Source organism: Homo sapiens, chromosome 3 (assembly GCF_000001405.40).
Source record: "Homo sapiens chromosome 3, GRCh38.p14 Primary Assembly".
Classification (NCBI taxonomy): Eukaryota; Metazoa; Chordata; class Mammalia; order Primates; family Hominidae; genus Homo; species Homo sapiens.
The window spans coordinates 171,130,538-171,151,542 of record NC_000003.12 but is presented as its reverse complement, the minus strand read 5'-3'; the positions used below and the strand labels follow the sequence as shown (position 1 = coordinate 171,151,542).

General features: G+C 40.9%; 1 protein-coding gene and 1 long non-coding RNA gene across 9 annotated transcripts in view; one reads left to right on the top strand and one right to left on the bottom strand.

Moving 5' to 3' along the window:
- TNIK (TRAF2 and NCK interacting kinase) overlaps positions 1-21,005 on the top strand; it is a 401,995-nt gene that overhangs the window by 308,866 nt on the left and 72,124 nt on the right. For 4 of the 8 annotated variants that reach the window (NM_001161564.3, NM_001161563.3, NM_001161560.3 and 1 more), the window contains exons 13-15: positions 11,034-11,144; positions 11,987-12,073; positions 13,164-13,352. In NM_001161564.3, the coding sequence (NP_001155036.1) occupies positions 11,034-11,144; positions 11,987-12,073; positions 13,164-13,352 (387 nt within the window). The remainder of the gene's footprint in view (positions 1-11,033; positions 11,145-11,986; positions 12,074-13,163; positions 13,353-21,005) is intronic. The other 4 variants (NM_001161566.3, NM_001161565.3, NM_001161562.3 and 1 more) reach the window with 1 other exon arrangement.
- LOC105374216 (uncharacterized) overlaps positions 1-21,005 on the bottom strand; it is a 59,021-nt gene that overhangs the window by 9,620 nt on the left and 28,396 nt on the right. Inside the window, exon 4 of the long non-coding RNA XR_007096163.1 lies at positions 6,570-6,635. This is a non-coding gene — a long non-coding RNA (uncharacterized LOC105374216). The remainder of the gene's footprint in view (positions 1-6,569; positions 6,636-21,005) is intronic.

Below are 21,005 nucleotides of genomic sequence, written 5' to 3'. Positions count from 1 at the left end.
AAAATTAAATGAGTTAATTCATACAAAGCCTGCCGACATCACTAACACATAGTGAGCCCTCAATAAATATGAGTTGTTCTTGTTATTGGTGTAGGTGCCTTTGACCAAAGTCAAGGAAACAAATTTCCAAAGTTTGAACTCCTTTATGTGCTACAGTAAAACCTTTTTGGATTTATTAAAATAAATGTAAATAGGTAAGCTTCTTTCTATGCTTCGGGAAGAATATTTGTTATAATACTGGGAGGAATTCAGTTATATCATTAAGAGCAATAAATGTCTAATAGTTCTTAGATGGCCAGCTTTAGGTTCGTGTAGAGGTAAAATACACTATCTTTACAGGCCAAGGCCAAGGTTTAATCTTAGCTGTGTGGTCTTTGGCAAATTACTTAACCTCTCTGAACCTCAGCTTCCTTACATGCACATTTGGTAAAATAATATTTACTTTTCATGATTGCTGAGAAGTAAATGAAACCATAAATACAGAGGACTTGGCACAATGCCTAACACAAAACCTGGATTGGTATTCTTGGGTGAATATTTTATTGTTATTTTGGAACTGATGATTTCAAAGTATAGTACTGTTAATTTTGTTTTTCATTTTAATGGTGCTGTCTATAGCTAGCATTTCCCCATTCCCTGTCTTCCTTAATTCCTTAATGTACCTTCCCTGTTTAGTGTAAAACCTTGACTTTTTCATCCCCTTTTGAAAGCATTTTTCCAGAGCACATTTTCGTTATGTCTTACTGGGCTGTTTATCTGCTGGTGAGTTAGCCTGCAGTCCTGGCCTTGTCAGGACAAGGAGGCGGCCCATTCTTTGTCCTTTTGCGGATTTCTTGTTTAGTAGGGTCAACTGCCACCTTGGGAAGTCTCCTTTTCCCAGTGAAACCTAGAGAACCTTCCCCTGGAGAAACTGCCTTCTGATGGATTATCTTATCAGTATTTCTTGCTGTCATTTCCAACACTGTAAATTATGATCCCATCATTGCCACCAAGTGGCTGCATGAAATTTCATTTCCTAACAATATCTAAATAAAGTTCATAAGGAACAGAGATCTTGTGCTGAGTGAATAACAAGCTTCTTGCATCAGGGAAATAGTACCTTCCGAGTGACCCTTTCACCAAAAGGGTGAGAACGTGGCAGTTCAGTAAGACACTGCCTGGGTTTGAATCTCAGATCTGCCACTTACTTCCTTTGTAATTTTGAGCAAGACATGACTTCTCTATGTCTCAGTTTGACCATTTATAAAATGGGATGTAATACATACAAACCACTTAGAACAGTACCTGGCACTGAGTAAACACCTGAATAAGTTCAAGGAGAGTGTTACATGTGAAGGGAAGAATCTTGCTTCTCATTACCTGCTTTGTTATTGCTGCCCTGGGTCATCTCTTTCCAGGGTGAGGCCTTGAAGCTGAATGAAGCCTAGGCAAGTACAGTGGGCACAAGAAGGAGACAGGAAAATCGTGTGGGTTTTTTACCAGTGCAGCATTTCTACCCACTGGACCACACTCCCAGGCCCCAAGCCAGAGGAAAGCACTGTGAGCAAGAAAAATTAATTCCCCCATCTCAGAGCCTGGAGTGTTAACACATCAGCACTGCTGAGAAGTGGTCCTTAATTCACTTAATCATTAACCACAGGTGTCCCAGTGTGTCCTGTGAGCAGTGGCTGGCTAGTTGGAGGCAGCACAGCTTTTTATTCCTGGATGTCATTAGCATCAACACAAGATTGAACACTTTCTAGCTGGGCTTTTGCTCTGTTATTTCAATAACTGAACAGAAATTATGAAACAGCTGGGAACCATCCTGGCAAACCAGATGCTCATTGTCCAGGACAAAGCGTGCCCATGAGCTTTGGATAATGGTCAGTAATCGCATGCACATGTAAATCACACTTGTGTTTCAGGGAGCCGTGTCATCTGCATGGATATAAGGAACCCCACCTCCCAGTGGATCGCAAAAGGGCTTCTTGTTCTAACTTACGTGTTGTGCCAAAGGAGTTCTGACTTTGTCCGCTTTGTCACCTGGATCCTGTGATGGGAGGGATTTCCTGCCACAGTGCGGGAGTTGGGCTGACATCCCTATTTTGTAGTGTAAAATGCTACTGAAATCTGGAGTCCTTTTGCCCAGGCTCCTGCCTACGCTTTTAAGACATAGGAAGGTAGAGTACGCTAGTGTTTTATACTTAACAGCATTTCATACTGAAAAAAAACCTGGAGTTAGGCAGTTGCTGATCCTTGGTGTATCTAGAGTACCTTGCATGGAAGGTAGGGATGGCTTTTTAGTGCCTGCATGCAATGGACATCACACAGACCTACCCTCCGTTGTCTAAGGTCTTCACAGAACCACCTTTATTACATCTAGTCTGTATGTTTTGTGTGTTCACAGTCTTCTTAGTTATTCCTAACCATAGAACTATGACAACAAAATAGTTTCACATGAAATCTTATTTCACATGACATTTAAATTGAATTGCTTTTATTTTGATTCTTGTTTTCTTTAGTAAGTGGTTTTATAGAATCATAGAGGCTGGGGAATATTAGGAACCTCAAAAGTGATCTCAGCCAATTCTTCTCTCAAAGCAAGAATTCCTTTTGCAATATTCTTCAAACAGGGTTATCTAACCTGTTTAACATATAATCTTTCCTTGTATGTCCGTGGGCTTGAGGCAGCACATTCTATTTTTGAACAACTCCTAATGTTGGAAAAGTTATCTTTTCGTTGATTCGAGTTCTTGTGATATCCCTGCATTAATACAGGTTGTGCCAAATAAAACTGAAATTCCCTGCATATCTGCCCTAGAAATGTGTGAAGACATTAATAATGTTTTCCCACAAATGTTACCAGTTCCTGCAACCTTTCTACGTATAAGTTAGCATCTTTAGTATCATCTCGGGAGTACTGGAGTGGCCCTCTCTGTAAATACTGTATTAATAAACTGGTTTATAACTGGCTTGTCTTCATAGGACTCAGTCTGAGGGTCTCATACTAAGGCTTCAGAATGATGACAGTAGGAATTTGGGGGTTTCATCTGCATTTGACTTTCACACTAACATTCAGAGTCGTAGGTACTAGGGATGTCCATTAGGCCATTCTTGCTCCTCTGTATGACACCTGGGAAATCCCGTGTGACTGTTCTCCCAGGAGAAACTGAGGCTCAGAGACACTAAGGAGTTTGTGAATAATCACATTGACTAGCATCCATGGAAGAGGCAGGATGAGAATTCTTCTGCACCGCTTCGTGAAGCTCAGTCTGTTTAGAACTGTCATGCCTCTTTCAGTGTCCGCAAAGACCAGCTTGCACACATGTGCTTGACAGTGCTTAGCCATGGGGCTGTCTGCTAATCAAAAGTTGGCCTGTGAGCACAAAGAAAAGGCTTCACTTAGGCAGTTAATTTTTCAGGAAAGCTCTCAAAGGGTAGGTTGGATAGTTTATCTCTCATGGTGTAAAGTAGGTGTAGAAAGAAAGGAATGAGTTATATCTGGCCTGTCTAGCTTTCCCAATGTTCTCTGATTACTATTTCTGAGAACATTGGGAAAGCTATGGTAGCTTTAAGGTAGGTAACAAGTTAAGGTAGGTAACAAGTAAAGATAGAAAGAGGGGAAAATGGCAACTTTAAAAAGCATTAGACAGTATCTTTTACTTTGTACACACAGATGCTTCTTGTGGACCCAAATGAGGCAGCATGGCAAGAGTCAGGCATGGAATATAAATCCTGGCCTCGCACTTACCAACCGAGTGAACTTGGGCAAGATATTGGCCTGGATGTGCCTCAGTTTCCTTAACTGTCAAATGGGGGTGATGACAGTATTACCTGCCTCAAAGGGTTCTGGTGAGAATTAAATGAGTTAATATGAGTACAGTGCTTGGCATCATAGGCTGCACTACGTAAGTGTTCTTCATTATGCATATAGTTATTATTATTTTTGTTTTTATTTCATTGTCATATAGTGAATTCAGAGGTGCCAGACTGCTTCCTCATCACTCTTGTGTCCTTACATAAAAAAAGGTTTGGAACTCCAGTTTTAGTCACAAGGAATCATGCCCTTACCCTATAGTCATTGGTTTGCAATGATCTTTCCAAAACTAAAACTTTAGCAACGTTAAATGGGAAAATGGAATGCCCAGAAGCTGGAATACCTCTCATCACAAGTATAGCTCCCGTGAAGCTTATACAGAATGGTCCTATTTAAAGTGAGGGGGCATGTGTGATGTGCAGTCAATTCAAAAGACCACACTGGGTCCTTTCATTCTGAGTGTCTTTGAACAGAGAGCCCCTGGGTGGAGGGGATGGTTTGAGGTACTTCCCAAGGAGCCTGACTTGATCTTGCACCAGCCGTTTTCCTGTCCTCTGGAGGCCAACTCGGGTCTTCCACAGTCACAGTAGGGTTTCCTCTCACCGCTTTCAGGAGGTCACCCAAGATGAAAAGCAACAGGAGCTCTCCAAGGGCAAATAAGAATTCTGCTTCGTTTCACTCTGAATGGTTAGATTTTTGCTTTGCAATGTAGCATAACCTTGCTCAGACTCTTAGAATGAACAGATTTGCAAGATTACTTAATCTATACCCTCATTGAAAGTTTAGCTGAAGGTGACTTACTCAAGGTCAAACAACATTCACTCATTCGTCACTTTTTTTTTTTTTTTTTTTTGAGATGAAGTCTCACTCTGTCACCCAGGCACAATCTCGTACAGTGGCACGATCTCAGCTCACTGCAACCTCCGCCTCCTGGGTTCAAGCAATTCTCCTGCCTCAGCCTCCTGAGTAGCTGGGATTAGAGGCACGCACCATCACACCCAGCTAATTTTTGTATTTTTAGTAGAGACGGGTTTTCACCATGTTGGCCAGGCTGGTGTCAAACTCCTGACCTCAGGTGATCCGCTCGCCTTGGCCTCCCAGAGTGCTGGGATTACAGGTGTGAGCCCGGCCATCAAACACATATTTACAGAGCGCTGCTACGTGGTCTTCAGTGTTCGTATTGGTGGCAGTGCAGGACCAGAATCTAGTCTGTTTCCAAACCATTTTATTCTTTCCCCAAGCCCTGTTGCCTCTCTTGCCTACCCCTCTATCCCAATGACACGTTGCATTGCAGCTATAGGATATTAATTCTCAGATGTGGATATCACTTGGGTCCATATAATGGGAAATATGATGTATATAAAAGATGGACCAGGGCCAAGATTTGTTTCTCATTTTTTGGCTTATTATGACTTTTCCTCATTCCAAAAGGAGGAGTTAAGGTGGCTTAAAGAGATTAATACAGCAATTAAAAGTAAAATAAACAAGAAGACAATGTAGAAGGGAACATAAAGTAGAACGGAGAAAGAAGATGCAGGCAGGAGCGGGGTCAGTGCACAGAATGCCTGCACAACATGGCATCCAGCGCTGTTGCCCAGGGCGGTCACCAATCTGCTCTGAGGCCTGACACATGAGAAAAGAGACAGATGTGAAGTGGTTGAGATTCATGTTGTCCATCAGATAAGAGTAAACCAGTTACTCAGACAAGCTTTCTGAGATCACACTGAAAACTATACACTTGCCTAGTAAGTAGTGCAATGAATAATGTCTGAGGCAATATTCCTGGCATAAATGCAGTGGTTAGCTTTATTCAGCTATTTTGAAGACATCATAAAATGCAATTTTATGGCATTGCAGTTCATCAAAGTCACTTCTATGAGAGCTAGAACACCCTGGTGTAGGTGCGTACTTTTCTGCTTATCTAAAGTAATCTAAGAAGAGCATTTAAACAAAAAAAAAAAAAAAAAGGAAAGACTGACTCCACAGCCCTTGTGAGGAATATGCATGAGGATTATCTCTTAAAACTAGACCTCTAATGACAATTCAGAATTTAAGGGTTGAGGTGATATTCTCTGCAAAGAATTTAAACAGCAAAAATTCTACATAGCCAATTTGGGATAAATGCATTACCTTTGAGGGCCCCCTGAACAGGTGGGACAAAATTACTATTCCCTCATTAAAATTAACTAACAAATTCACATGCTTGAAAGTGCAGCCACACAGCCTCCACCTAGAGGTAGCGTGAGGGGAGCATTCATAGGGAGGATCAAAACTGCCCCCAATAGATCCCCAGATCCAGCAATCCCACCACTGGGTGTATAGCCAGAGGAAGGGAAGTCTGTGTGTTCAAGAGATAGCTGTGGCCGGGTGCGGTGGCTCACACCTGTAATCCCAGCACTTTGGGAGGCCGAGGCGGGCGGATCATGAGGTCAGGAGATCGAGACCATCCTGGCTAACACGGTGATACCCCGTCTCTACTAAAAATCCAAAAAATTAGCCAGGCGTGGTGGCGGGCGCCTGTAGTCCCAGCTACTCGGGAGGCTGAGGCAGGAGAATGGCGTGAACCCGGGAGGTGGAGCTTGAAGCGAGCTGAGATTGCACCACTGTACTCCAGCCTGGGCGACAGAGCAAGACTCCATCTCAAAAAAAAAAAAAAAAGAGAGAGATAGCTGTGCTCCTTTGTTTATTGCAGCACTATTCACAATAGACCAGATATGGAATGAACCCAAGTGTCCATCAGTGGATGCGTGAATAAAGAAAATGTGGTACTTACATACAATGAAGTACTATTCATCCATAAAAAAGTGAGATTCTGTTGTTTGCAGCAACGTAGATGAACCTGGAAGACATTATATCAAGTGAAAGATTCCAGGCACAGAAAGACAAATACCATATGATCTCACTCACTGGTGGAATCTAAGATGTCACTCTCATAGAAAGAAAGAGTAGAACAGTGGTTACCAGAGGATTGGCAGGGGGCAGTGGTGAGAGACTGGTCAATGGGTGCAAAGCTATAGACGAGAGGAATAAGTGCTGGTGTTCTATTGCATAAGAGGATGGCTGAAATTCACAATGTATTACATATTTCAAAATAGCTATAAAAGGTTTTTGAATACTCTCGTCACAAAGCAATGGTAAGTGTTTAAGATGGTAGATATGCTAATTACACTGACTTGATCATTACATAATTTATACATGTATGTAAACATCACATTGTACCCCATAAATATGTCCAATTATTACATGTCAATCATAAATATTTAAAATAAGAACTTTTAAATATTTCATGCCTTTCTCTAATGTCTAAAATAAGAAATTTAAAATATCTTAAAATAAAAATAAAAAGGAATTGTCCTAAAAAGAAATCATCCTTGGCGAACATCAACAGAAGACAAAAGGGACATGAAGTCCCTGATTATCTACTCCATAGAGTAAGGCAACAATTGTTAGGGCCTGGAAAACTTTAACAGTAGGTTCTATCCATCATCTCCCCACCGGAAAAAAAATTAAGAAACTTATAAGAAGCAACTGAATGTCCAATTTTAAGGAATATAACTTTTAGCAATGCCTACAAGAAGACATGGATGAAAATATACTTCTAGGCAGTTCAATATAGGTGGAGAATCTGCCAACAGTTTTAGAGTAGTTGGTTTCAGCCATTCTTTTCTGATAGCAGGACCACTATCTTCATTATGTATAATTTGAATAAGATCTAGGAATGCTATTTGATTCTCCCCTTTCCCTTTTTTTCCAGTTTAGACTCTTATTCCCTTATTTTTCATGCCTTTCTCTAAGATGGCAAACAGGTACATTCCAGTGCCAACTGTAGGTGGCTCTTTTTAGAAGAACATTCTCCAGTTCTGTCTGTGTTCAATATAAAAGAATGTTCCAGCCAATAAGAGCTACTTAAGAAGGGCATCAAAGAGTAAAGGTCTGGTACAAAGCTCTGCAGGGCTCTCCCCTCTTCTATTACTTAGCCAGTTTGCAGTATTCAACACAACAAATATCACTGGTGGCTGGCCTGATATGGAAACAATGGGAGATAAAAACAAGTGGAACAGAGATCTTGCCCACACACGGCTTTCAATCTAGATTGCAAAGTTGGTAAGATATACTCAAATAGCCATACTATAAGGTATGGAAAGGTAGCCATACCGTCAGTATTGACAGGAGGAAAAATTCTACAAAGAAATTTAAGAGGATACTGTGTTGTCTTTTCCCTCAAGTTTCTTACTATGTTCAGCGCAACAAACTCTTAGGTGCACCTGCCAGGTGCCAGGCCCCCGTCTGAGGGGTTGGGGTACAGCAGAAATCAAGCACTGGCCTTGCCCTCAGAGAGCTGCTTCTAGCAAGAGTCATCAGAGCTTTGTAAAGGTGTCTGCCTGAGGCCAGGGACTTGGTCTTGCATTGATATGTTTTTTTTATATCCCCTCCCTCATACGGCTCCATGCACAGGAGGAGAGAAAGCAAATATTTTTTCAAGAATGGCATTAACATTGAGACACAGCAGCTGGAAATTGGCAGGGTGCCCTCAGAAGGTTGGGAAAGCGATTTATTTTTCCAACCTCACCACAGGAACCAAAGCCCTGGCAGATGCCTCCATGTGTTAGCGGCTGCTGATCCGAGTGAGATCATTATTAATTATTAGTTACTTTTGAGTGTCTTTCTCAGAAACTACAGAGTACTTGGGAAGCCCAGACGCTCTTGAGTTGCAATCAATACTGTATACACCTTGCACAGGGACCTGAGTGGCATGTAATTATAAAACAGTATTGATTCCTGGCAAAGGGGTTCAAAATGTACAAATCCTTCACATAAAGATCAGCTAACTCTTCAAAGGGCTTGATTATTTTCCTTTCCTTAAGAAAGAGACGGATGGTTGGAGTAAGAAATTTGAAATATTAGCTAAATTAGTGCTATTTCCTGCCAGGATCCAGATCTGTACACATAATTATTTTATTCTCTGTGCTGGCACTGATTCACTTTGGTTGAGTATTGGAAATGTCTCTGTTTTGGGTCTGTAATCCAAATTATTCAGTCAGTGCCTATGCTGATGTTTTCTACTCGCATCTTCCTGTATTATTTTTCTGTAAAACAAATACTTGCATGTCTGGGACTTGCCTCATGCTGGTACCCACCCCACTCCTACTTTTCCTGCTCTTCTCTATCCCATCGTCCACTGTGCCCCTTGGCCGGGGACTTCACCTGCCCTCCTACAACCTGTCGTCACCAAATCCTGCCTATTTTATTTTGGCCTAATTCTAATTTCTGTTTCTAAATTGGTGTCCACTGAAGTCCTATTAGAATGACCAGCAACCTGTATAGTTGTTAGTCTTTATTCCTCTTGGCTGTGTCTCCATCCTCAGCAGTGATTATAAACATGGACTCTCATCCCGCCTTTGCTGAAATCATCGATGCCCTATCATTTTATACCTAGATCCACAGAATGGCCTTGCACTGCTTTTCAGCTTCTAGTCTTGCCCCTTTTCATGGATGATGGGGAGGCCTTTTGAAAATGCAAGTCTGATCAAGTCATTTGGCTGCATGAAGTCCTCCAATAGCTCTCCTTCGCCTGCAATCCAAGATGGAAAAATCATTGTTGATCTGGAAGTGACAGAAACTGAGTCTTAAGAGACGCAGCTTATCTCCCAAGACTCAGAGGTTATTGGAAGACAGCAGGTCCGGAGGATTGCTGCAGGAGCTCCATCGGGAAGGTTTCCACATGGGCTTCTCTGGCATTCTGAATATCTGTGGTTGGTTTAGCTGGGGCTGAGACACAGAACTTGTGTAAAAAACTATCTCCCTGGTTGTGTAGAGCTAACTTATCAGTGTGAGACAGTCACAATTTATTCCACTCTGGGTACCTCATGTTTCCTAAGCTATGCAATGAAGTCTTGTTGAGAATGTGACAAGGAAATGGTCCCCCTGGTATGTCCCCTCTGAACTTCATATATGAGGAAAAAGAAATCCCAAAGCCAATAAAGGATCTGACACAAAGGGCCAGCCGCCTCTCTCAAAAGGTGCACTAATGCCATGATGTATGGGAAAAGACTTGGTAATATGTGACAATCCTGTGCCTTGCACAGGATGTTTGGCATCACTAGCCTCTCATGGTAAATGCCAGTCATGCTCCTCAGTCATCAGAACCAGCAAAAATACTCCTCACATGTCCTTAGATAGTTGCAAATGCTCCAGAGAGGGGTAATGGCACTGCTCCTACTTGAGAACCACTGGCTCCTGTAACTGCTTGGCCTAGTTCTAACTTCTAAAATGTTCTCCTTTCCTGAGAGTATAATGAAGAGCCAGATACTTTGTGATCTTTCTATCATTCCTCTGGCTTCTTGGACTTCCTTAATGATTGAGCTCAGATGCTGGAGTCACATCGTCTGGCTATGAAATCAAGCTCTGCCATTTACTGGGTGTGACCTTGAACAATTACTTAATCTCTCCGTACCTCAGTTTTCTCAGATAAAATGGAGATAATAGTGACATCCACTTATTTTTGTGAAGATGAAATGAAATAAAGCATGTAAGCTGTTTATCACACTGTCCACTGTTGGAGGCATGGTAATTGTATGAGGTGATGACGATGATTGACGATGACGATGATGATGATGATGGCTCCCAAGCATAAGGGTCTTATTCGAGCAAGAACTTGAAATTGACACTTAATAATGAATACTCCAGAAAACACAGACAGGCAGCATGATATATGAGAAAAGGTAGCAGACTAGGTGGGAGTCAGTAAATCCTAAAGCACCCTCTGCCATCAATTCTGTATGGCTTTGAATATGTCACTTCACCGCTCTGATTTTTACATATCTATGAAATTTTTGTGTTACATGGTGTTAAACAGATTGAATGACTTAAGCATTGTGAAGTAATTTCATAAACAACTTGATGATATGTAATAAATAACCTGTTTTGCATTGGTGTTTTCTACGCCTGACTTGAAAACCCTCACCAGCTGTGGGGAGAACACACTTAACAGGAACGTCTTGGTGAGAGTCTACTTACATGGTAAATGGAAGTATGTTATGCGTGACACTGAATCTCTCTCTCTCACCCGCTCCCTGCCAGTGTACCCTCCAACAGCCCCGGAGAGAAGAACCTTGGAGCATTTAGGCATATCTCATTAAAAGTTCATGTCTGGGGTTCAACAGCTTTTCCTGCTGGCTCCCTGACACCCCCCACCGGGGCCTGTTGCCTTCATGGTTGTCTGCTTGTTGCCCCACAGCAACAAAGGCGAGAGAAGGAGCTGCGGAAGCAGCAGGAGAGGGAGCAGCGCCGGCACTATGAGGAGCAGATGCGCCGGGAGGAGGAGAGGAGGCGTGCGGAGCATGAACAGGTACAGCTGGGACCAGGAGCCCCACTGATGGCCCCCCGGGGACCCCAGCACCAGCCTTCTCTGGGGTGTGGGTCACCTTTTCTGAGGAATGCTCAGTTTACATGGGTTTTTACTCTTCCTCAAGCAATTATGCTCACCTATTCAAGAAGTCAAATGTACAACCTTGGCAATGCCCACCTATTCAGCCTTGCTTTCTACCCAGACAGAGTTCCCTGACATACCCGGATCTTCCGATTCTCCCAACCCTCGGTATCTGATTTGAAGGTAGCACTGAAGCATGAAAAATCAGCCAAGTCCCACTCTTTCACTGCTTCAGAAGAGCTTTTCTACTCATGCCATCTCTGGTCTTTATGACTTTGAGTCATTGATGCAGGCCCATCTCTCTTTGCTAGAATCACATTCTTACAGCATAGTGAAACTCTGCAGGATGGTTCCATTACAAAGACAGTGCACGATGGCATTCAACAGTTGTCTTATTCCTGCTGCTTGCACAGGAGCCTCTGAACTTTATAGCATTGTTAATTCCAGGTAGTCCATAAAGAGAGGAACCTGTAATGAAAAGCTTTAACATGTAGCTGGGCTTATTAAAACCAAGTAGTAGCAGTAAAATGCCGAGACATCGCAGTCAGCTGTTGCAGGTAGAGGGGCTTGTGCTTTTCATTATGTTGAAATGCATTTGCTTCCATGTGACATACTCTTCCTGCTTTGTAAGAAGGTATTTGGGTATTTTTCCCCTCCTTCCTTCTACACTTTACTTAGCGGCTCTTGTCGCCTTTGAAATTACTGGTTCATTTCTCTCTTTCTTTCTGTTCCTCTGAATTCTCTGCTGCCTACCTCTCCAGGAATACATCAGGCGACAGTTAGAGGAGGAGCAGAGACAGTTAGAGATCTTGCAGCAGCAGCTACTGCATGAACAAGCTCTACTTCTGGTAATGAGAAAGCCAAGAACCAGCTGACCTGCTCTGTGTTCATCTTGCAAGTGTTTGTGTGTGTGTGTGTGTGTGTGTGTGTGTGTGTGTGCGCGCGTGCGTGTGTCCTTCTAACATACCAGTCCAGAAGAGGGGATCTTCTAAGCCTCAGGGACCTCAAAAACCTCATAGAAACTTAATACATTTTCTGATTGATTTTGCTGAGTCCTAATATATTTAATACAGTTGTTATGCATTCTTTATTAACTCCATTTATTTGTACAACTTGAATATAAATCCAGCCTTATTATAAGTACAAACTGCTTTTGAGACCTACTGTGTTTATTGCAGAGTAATTTTTAAGGCCATTTGCGACATGCTGGAATACAATCACAGCAAAATGCACCTCTCCCATAAGAACCCATCAGCTCTACAGTCATATTTCATTTACAGACTATTAGCTTTACCCTTACGATGGGAACATTTTGTGTCCCTTGCTCATGCAGCTTCCACTTGAAGTACAGTACTTTTTTATTATTATAGCACTGCTCTCCAGATGGGCTTTTTGGTGTATTTTTTAAAACTGAACTTTTTATTTAATGGCATTCTGATGTTTTTTAGCCTGTACATAAGCTTGCTAATGGCCTTTGTAGGTCCAAGTTTTATTAAATGAAAGATGATTTAGGCACTATCTTTGGCTGCTTAGTTTGTACTTAATTGTACATGTTTGAGTGGTTTAATTACTAGATCAGGAAGTGGGTGACTTTTTCTAGGAGTTGTATGCCGACCATTTAAATGTCCTCATTATTGCCATTTTGTCACTTGTAATTCATCAGGGACAAGTCATTTTGTAATTGATGGGGTTCGGTAGGGATTGCCATTTTAAAGCAATAGCGTTTTCATTAAATGACACATTCTTGTGTAGATACTAACACAAGGCAGTAGCTTATTTCTGTGGCACATCCTGACATCCTTCTGTCATTCTGTTGGTATTAAGATCCTTTGTTATTTAGCATTATTTTGCCTCCATTGCATGCTTATCTGGTACTGGCCGATGATTTCTATGTGATAATTTGGCCTTTTCTTTGCTCCTCTTTCCTGATCTGGACAGGAATATAAGCGCAAACAATTGGAAGAACAGAGACAAGCAGAAAGACTGCAGAGGCAGCTAAAGCAAGAAAGAGACTACTTAGTTTCCCTTCAGCATCAGCGGCAGGAGCAGAGGCCTGTGGAGAAGAAGCCACTGTACCATTACAAAGAAGGAATGAGTCCTAGTGAGAAGCCAGCATGGGCCAAGGAGGTAAGTAAGCAAGGGTAGCCTCACCCTGTTGGCCAGGCTTTTGACTCTAATGAGTTTGTGTGATAGAAGTGGAGAGTTAACCCAGTGCTGCAAAGTTGGAAAACAATTCATCATAAGACACATGCTTTGCTTTTGCAAGAACTATAACATTATTTCTGTAGAGAAATGGCAAGATACCTTCCTTCATTTGTGAGGTTTTGTTTTTGTTTTTTTTTTTTTTTTGTATATCTTTGTGGTTGCAATGGACTTTTATAGGAAATAACAGAAGATAGAAAAAACCTTTTTTCTGTTACTCATCCAATTGAATTTGTGGCATGGAGGATTTTTAGTGACCTTTTTGTTGAATAATGTGATTAAGGATTTATAGAATTCTAGGAAGAATCAGTTCCTGTCCATGCCTGGACCCTGTTGCTGATCATTAACATTGTCACTAACATAACTTTGTTCACTGTGATACTACCAGCAGATGCACAGTTGACCTCAGACTTGTGGTGGTGGTATTCACTTTTAAGATCAGAGGTCATTAGTGTTTCTTCTACACATACTTCCTTCATTTGCTTAACTACTAGACTAAGAAAGGATTTTCAGGAACTTAGCACTATGTTGAGCTATTTTAATAAAAACTGCTTGGATGGGAGGGAAAAAAGGGTGATAGCCAGACAGGTAAAGCAAACAAACAAAATAACCCCAACCAAATCAGCAACCTTTCCAGGGAGTCACTGTGTGAGGTCATGTGCATAACACGCTGGTTTTCAGTTCAATCATTATTTCTGGCATCTAGTGATTTCCTTTATTTTATGGTGATCATAGCTGGTCATTTAAAAGGATGTTTTGGAGTTATTTTGTATTTTTATCTAGAATCTTTAGATATTGATAGCTCACGCTTTTTTCAAGTTATCTAGAATGCAATATTACTAGAACCAGATTTCTTACATAAGATCCTATTTTTATGAAAATAATTCTTTGTATTTGTCTAACCTATCTGACATATGTACAGAAAATACTTGACATAATGTTGTCCTAATGTTAATGATAGTGGTTTATGGGAGCAGAAAGTAAAAAAAAAAAAAAAAAAAAAAAAAGGATTTTTAAAAACTTTTTTGTACTTTTACATATTGTTTAAATCCTTTAGAGTGATCATGTATTTTTTTGTGAAAATAACTTTTTTCTTTTAAAAGTTAAACTAAGTGTGTGGAAAAATTGTTTTGATTTGTGATGAAGAATTTTTTATCACTTTCCCTTACATCTGTAAACATGATCCATATTTACCTATGTCTCTAACATCTGCCTCTTTCTCTTAGATCAGTAATTCAATTTTGTGATCCTACTCCCAGGTACAGCATCGACCCCTTAATAATCCACCTGTTCTTCCAGCTAAGCAAAATCACTATGCTGCTAAACAGCAGCTGACATGCTTCTTGGCTGGCAGGCATGCACCACCTTCCTCTACTGCTAAACCATTTCCTAGCCATGCCAAGTTGAAATCCTCAGCTAAGCCAGACCCACAGCTCCTGACCATGGCAGGTGTTCAGACCACTGAAAAACTAGCCTCTACAAAGCTAATGTCAGTAGCACCTGCAGGAATTAATGATTCCAGACCAAGACTCCTGCTTGAGCATCACCCATGGGAGAAAGATGGACGAGCTTGTCCTATTAGACTTGGTTTGGAAGAACAAATGAAGCCTCAGGAAGTCTTGAGGACCATAGTGAGATCTCCAAGGCACTCTCACTCCCAAGGATGTAGCCCAACTCGAGAGTTAGGATCTAAGGTCATTTGTGTGTCTTCTCCCAACGTCTCCAAAGTGACAAGCCCCGAGTTGTCCATTACTGCAATTCAGGAGGGCCTTAGAGATTCATGTAGACCTTGGGGCAGGAAGAGCATGAACTCATGCATCTTTACAAGTGCTTCTACTTTTCTAAGAAATGCTGCATCGCTAAGCGACCTCCCCTTGATGCATGACCACTTGGCTTTCAGTGTTCCCAGCCCCAAGCATGAGTTTAGGAGAGGGACACCTACAGATCCCATTGGAAAAGATCATTATGTTGTGCAAACCATTCCAGAATTTCTTCTTTCCCCTAGACAGCTCCCTCATGCACAAATGTACCAGAAGAGGGGGAAAAGCATGAAACAGTTTTCACCTCCTTCATTCAGCCTCTACCCAGCACCTTGTGATTTGAACTTGTCTACCTTGACTTCACTGTTTTCCAGTTGCTATTTGTCCTCATCACTAAATTTACTGGTCTGTCCTCTCTATTCAGAACTAGTTCATAGCTCCCAAGCTTTCAGGAGACATGGCATTCCTGGGGGCAGATCTTTGCAGATGTCATCAAGGCACTTTTCTAGACCTCTTAATTCCCTCATGCTTCCTGGTCAGGCTCCTAGCAGTAAAAGAAACACAGCATTTGAGCATGCAAACAACATGCCTGAGTCATCAAGCACTCCTGATGTGAGGTTTCCCAGTCACCATAAGTCTGGGCCATCTCTGGTGGGTGACATCTTCCAAGGTCCCTGGCTTCCTGGCATCTGGTGTGCTTCCTTTGGGCTTCACGCATTTCCACAGATATATGGGAACATTCTTTGGGGATTTCATATTTAGTCCTCTGCTCCTGGGTGTGGTTAACATAATCCAGCTTCCAACTAACCGTTGTCTGTTCATGAAACAGTTCCCAAGTCTTAGAGTGGGTGATCATATTTTAGAAGAAAGATGAAACATTTAGTTGATAGAAGGAGAGTGACAGTGCTAAATTTAGGACTGGAGCAATCGATGTACAAATAAGAACAAATAATTGTCTGCCTTGGTTTGAGTCATCATTTTTAACACCCACTTCTTAGTAGGAATAAAAATCAGTGCAAGGATCTTTACATTCTTGATCTTTTAATGCTTCTCATCAGCAGTGTATGAACTTTTTATGTAAAGCATTATTTACAGATGTCTTTTCTCATATTAGGAAGGCAGGGGCTCAAAGTGACCAAGTAGTAATACACGTTTCAAAACTTTAAATATGAACATAGCTTATCAGTATCTTAACTATCAAGTTATAAGAAAACCTGGGTTAAACCCTCTGGAAGTAAAATAAAAGGATGCCATTTTCTTTTTTTCAAATGCACCCTCTGTGCCCATGCCACCGTCTCCTGTTGTGTAGGGTCTGGACTATTTTGCCCCATGTGCCACTGAAGGTATCACCTAGCTCTCTTCCACCTACTGCAACCTCTTCTGTAATCTGTTCCAGCATTTGTTTTGTAACTCAGCTCTATGCCGTCTCATCAAGTTTTTTTTTCTTCTTCTTTGCTTACTTTTCCATCTACTTCTCCTCTTCCTCATTCCAAATCGATAGTCCTTTATCAGCAATGTAATGCTCTTATACTGCTTTGTTCTCTCTGTTCTTGTTTCTTCATTTTGTAAAACACAAGTGATCACTGCATTTCTGAGTACCTTTCTGATTAATATGTTGGATATTGTAGAGCAAGTGAAAATGCTCAGTCATTTGCAAATCTTGTTGAGCTCTTCTCTCCCTCCTTTTACTGAGTATTCTTTCTGTCCTGGATGTCACATTGGCCTTGATTTAAAAGAATATGAATGTCTCTGCATTAAAAAGACAGCTTGGAGCCAGGCACGGTGGCTCACGTCTATAATCCCAGCACTTTGGGAGGCAAAAGCAGGAGGATCTCTGGAACCCAGGAGTAGTTAGAGACCAGCCTGGGCAACACAGTGAAACCGTGTCTCTACAGATAATAATAAAAATTAGCTGGGCATGGTGGTGCATGCCTATGGTCCCAGCTACACCAAAGGCTGAGGGTGGGACTTGAGCCTGGGAGGTTGAGACTGCAGTGAGTCATGATTGCACCACTGCACTCCAGCCTGGGCAAAGAGTGAGACCCTGTTTCAAATAAATACATAAATAAATAGACAGGTTGGGGGCATTCTCACTGCTTTCAAATTATCTGCCATTTCTGAGTTGAGATGGATGTCAGGTATGTACTGTGAAAATATCAGTATGATGTTCTGTTGAACATCGGCAGAATTTGAAGGTCTTCTTCCTCACTTTTTGGATGATGGAGATTCCTTTTTCTTTCTTCTGCTCCTTAAATGGCATGTGATTTTCTGGGCCTGGCAATAACTGTGTGGGCTCCCCTTCCTTTTCCATCCCACATACTTAAAAAAAAAATTGTACCAAAGCTCAGCAGTGAAAGAATGCTTTGTTTACATGAGTATTGCATGAGATTGTATTTTAATTTTTTTAGCACTCCATCGTGTTCTCTTTCTGTGATATATGCCAGTCCTGGAGTGTTTGTTTGCAAACATCAATCTGATAAGGGCCAAAATATCTCTTTATTTCCATTAGTTCACTGGACTTTGAAATCACTGTGTATAAAAACTCCTTCTCCATCCGGATTTCTCTGCTCTATACCTAAGTGATTTCTTTTTCCTTTTATATTAGTTAGTTTATATATAAAGTTCCCAAACTAGCATTTAGAGAGTTTATATCTTTCCTCCATTTCTGCATATCTCTCTTATGATTAAATATAGGAGAGACCTGGAAGGAAATAGTAAGGAGTATGTTTGAGTTCAAGTTCTTCCACTTCCTGCCTGCCTGACCTAGGGCGTGTCTCCTGCCTTCCTGAGATGCAGCTTCCTCATCCGCACATCTGCCTCACAATTGGGAAGCTCATGGGCAATAATGAATATGCACGTGCCATTTAAAGTTACATACTACACAAATTCAAATGAAATATGGTATTCAACATATTCCTATTTTGTTTCCAAGACTGTTGTAGCTCATGAGGAACAAGTGTTCTGTCTCTTGTTTTGGTCTGGATTTCATATGACCAATTCACTGGCGTCGCCTATCTCTTCACCCACCTCTCCCAGGTGATAGATAAGCACTTCTTTATTTCCTATATCAACTTTCTAAGATTTTGCTTCATTACTTTTAAGTATGTGCTCCATTCACACAGGGATCTATACGTTTTTCTGGAATATTAGTAAGAAGTTGATCTGGGAAAATAGTCCAGGCCCTTAGAGTCAGACAAGATTGCATCTTAAGCATTCCTTATGAATGAGAGTCTCCCCCGTTCTCAGAGGTGACCCGGAGCAGGGGCATCCTCAAACTTGCTCAGTAACCATCTGCCCATGTGGTTTTGCCCAACGATATTACTCAGCTCTTTATGTGACTAGTGAGTACAGGGTCAAAGTATCTAAGGAGCACTTAAAAGTTACTTACTGGCTTCTTTCTCTTTCTCCAGCATTGCCAATAAACACAAAAACCAAACTGTTTTGTCCAGTTGGGGAAAAAAAGAGAATACCCATATGATTGTGTTGAATTCACCATGTATTAATTCTTAAGTAAAGCCTTCTGAGACCTTCCTAAACCCCGTGGACTCTACATATTATAAAATATTATTAGAATGCACCCATATGACATAGTAAATATATATTTGCTGTCAACAGTTTTAAAATTACTTCTATAAATGTTTTGAAATTCTCAGTAGATGTTATTCATTATTGTAAAGTGAGACACTGTAACCTACAAATTGTTTTAAAATATAAAAAACAATTTGACAATTGACATTGATACAGTGTTTCTCTTTATTATGTTTTAACTTTTTAAAAAATTTATTTTGAAATTGTTTTGGAAATCCTGAAATTAACAAATTTATTTTTAAGTTGTCTATATTTGTATAGCCTTTATATATAGCAGAGGCCATAGACATTACTCCTATCCTAGGCAGTGGATAACACAGACCTGTCTAGAGCAGAATTTTATTTCTGAGACCACAGTTATTTTTTTTCTCTCTATATAATGCTATAGTAAATAGTATAGCATTTTTGCAGAGGTGATCCAAACTTCTCCAAAGTTATTTTAGTTTTCATGTTGAAACGATTTTTTAATAAGAAAAAAATACTTTTATAGTGAAGTTGATCAGTCTGTGCTAACCTTCTCTGTATTTCTGATAATTCCTTCTACTGTGAAATCATTTATAACAGGTATCTTTTGTTGTTATGGTCTAGCACCTTCACACTCCATACCTGATGGTACTGGAACACTTTCTAATTGGTGCTCCTGGCATTTTATGTCTTCTTGGAAGCAGGCAGTTGGAGCAGAAACTTGGCTCCTAGACTTTTTTGAACATCCTCAGGCATTGAAACATATCTTGTTGTTCCCAGTTTTTAATCACATGTATCTTTCTTCTAGATGGGAGAGGTTTTGGAGGGAGACTTTCTTTTTTTGTCTCACATATTTATCTCCTGTTCAGTCAGCAGACATAAGTTGTGATAAACCAGGGAACAGGCCTTTGTCTAGTATGAAAATAATGAAAAGGGCCTGCCTAGATACCCCATCCAGCTTTCTCTCTGTCCATCTGAAGGTATTATTAGGAGAAGTGCCACTTCCAATGTTTGATTTGATCCTTTGCTCCAGTTCTTAAGGTGATTCTGCAGTGTAAAGACACTTGGGCGGCATTATCTTCCTAAAGACTTCAGGACTAGGTTTTCTTGAGACAAAGTACGTAATGAGATGCCTCATCGTTACACCCTTTTCTTAGATTTTCAATTTTCTTTGGACAAACTTCAACCCAGGAAATTTCAGTACACTGGAGCCTTCCTGAAATAATTTTCAAAGTGTAACAATTACTTATGCCATATATTTTTAGAATGGTACCGACTGAAATATACTAATGATAGAATTTAATATGTAAACTGTTAGAAAGCATAAGAAATTTTTACTAGAAGTACATTAGCAACATCTATACATGACTAATCAAATCCATTCATTGCCTGTGAAAACCAGTACCCTAGTTTCTGCCCTGTTCATTTCTTTTTTTTTTTTTTTTTTTTTTTTTTTTTTTTTTTTTGAGACGGAGTCTCGCTCTGTCGCCCAGGCTGGAGTGCAGTGGCGCGATCTCGGCTCACTGCAAGCTCCGCCTCCCGGGTTCACGCCATTCTCCTGCCTCAGCCTCCCGAGTAGCTGGGACTACCGGCGCCCGCTACCACGCCCGGCTAATTTTTTGTATTTTTAGTAGAGACGGGGTTTCACCGTGTTAGCCAGGATGGTCTCGATCTCCTGACCTCGTGATCCGCCCGCCTCGGCCTCCCAATGCCCTGTTAATTTCTAATGATAGCTTTAGGGCCCCCTGTGGCCTGTGATCCTATTAGCAGCAGGGATGCTTAGACTGGGGCCTTGTTGCTGACACTTCCCAAAAGAATTCTTTCTTTATCTCAAAAATGGTTTCTTTGCCCAAGATAGAGTCTTTGGGGGCAAACTTTTCTACTATTGTTTTTAATGTGCTGTCCCTTAATGTACATTTAAAGCTATCAGTGTATTTTAGAGCCAAAAATAATAATTACAAGTATTCCTCACTCTGCATATATTTTGTTCCTGAATTTTGGGTGACAAGTGGTTTGGATAGTGGGAATTCAGACACTGAAGGATGCTTATGTATGACTTATCTATTAATGATCTACCCTGAAAATAAGAAAATGGATAATATTTGACCAATTCCAGTGGTCTAGAAATATTAACCTTCTTTCAAAGAGTCTGGCATTTGGAAAAGTGATATATTGCATGCCTTGATCTCAGTTTATCTATTGCTGTCTTTGTGGGACTTTTTCTTCTTTGTGGTCTTATCTCAAAGCTGGCTTTGTTCTTTTGCTC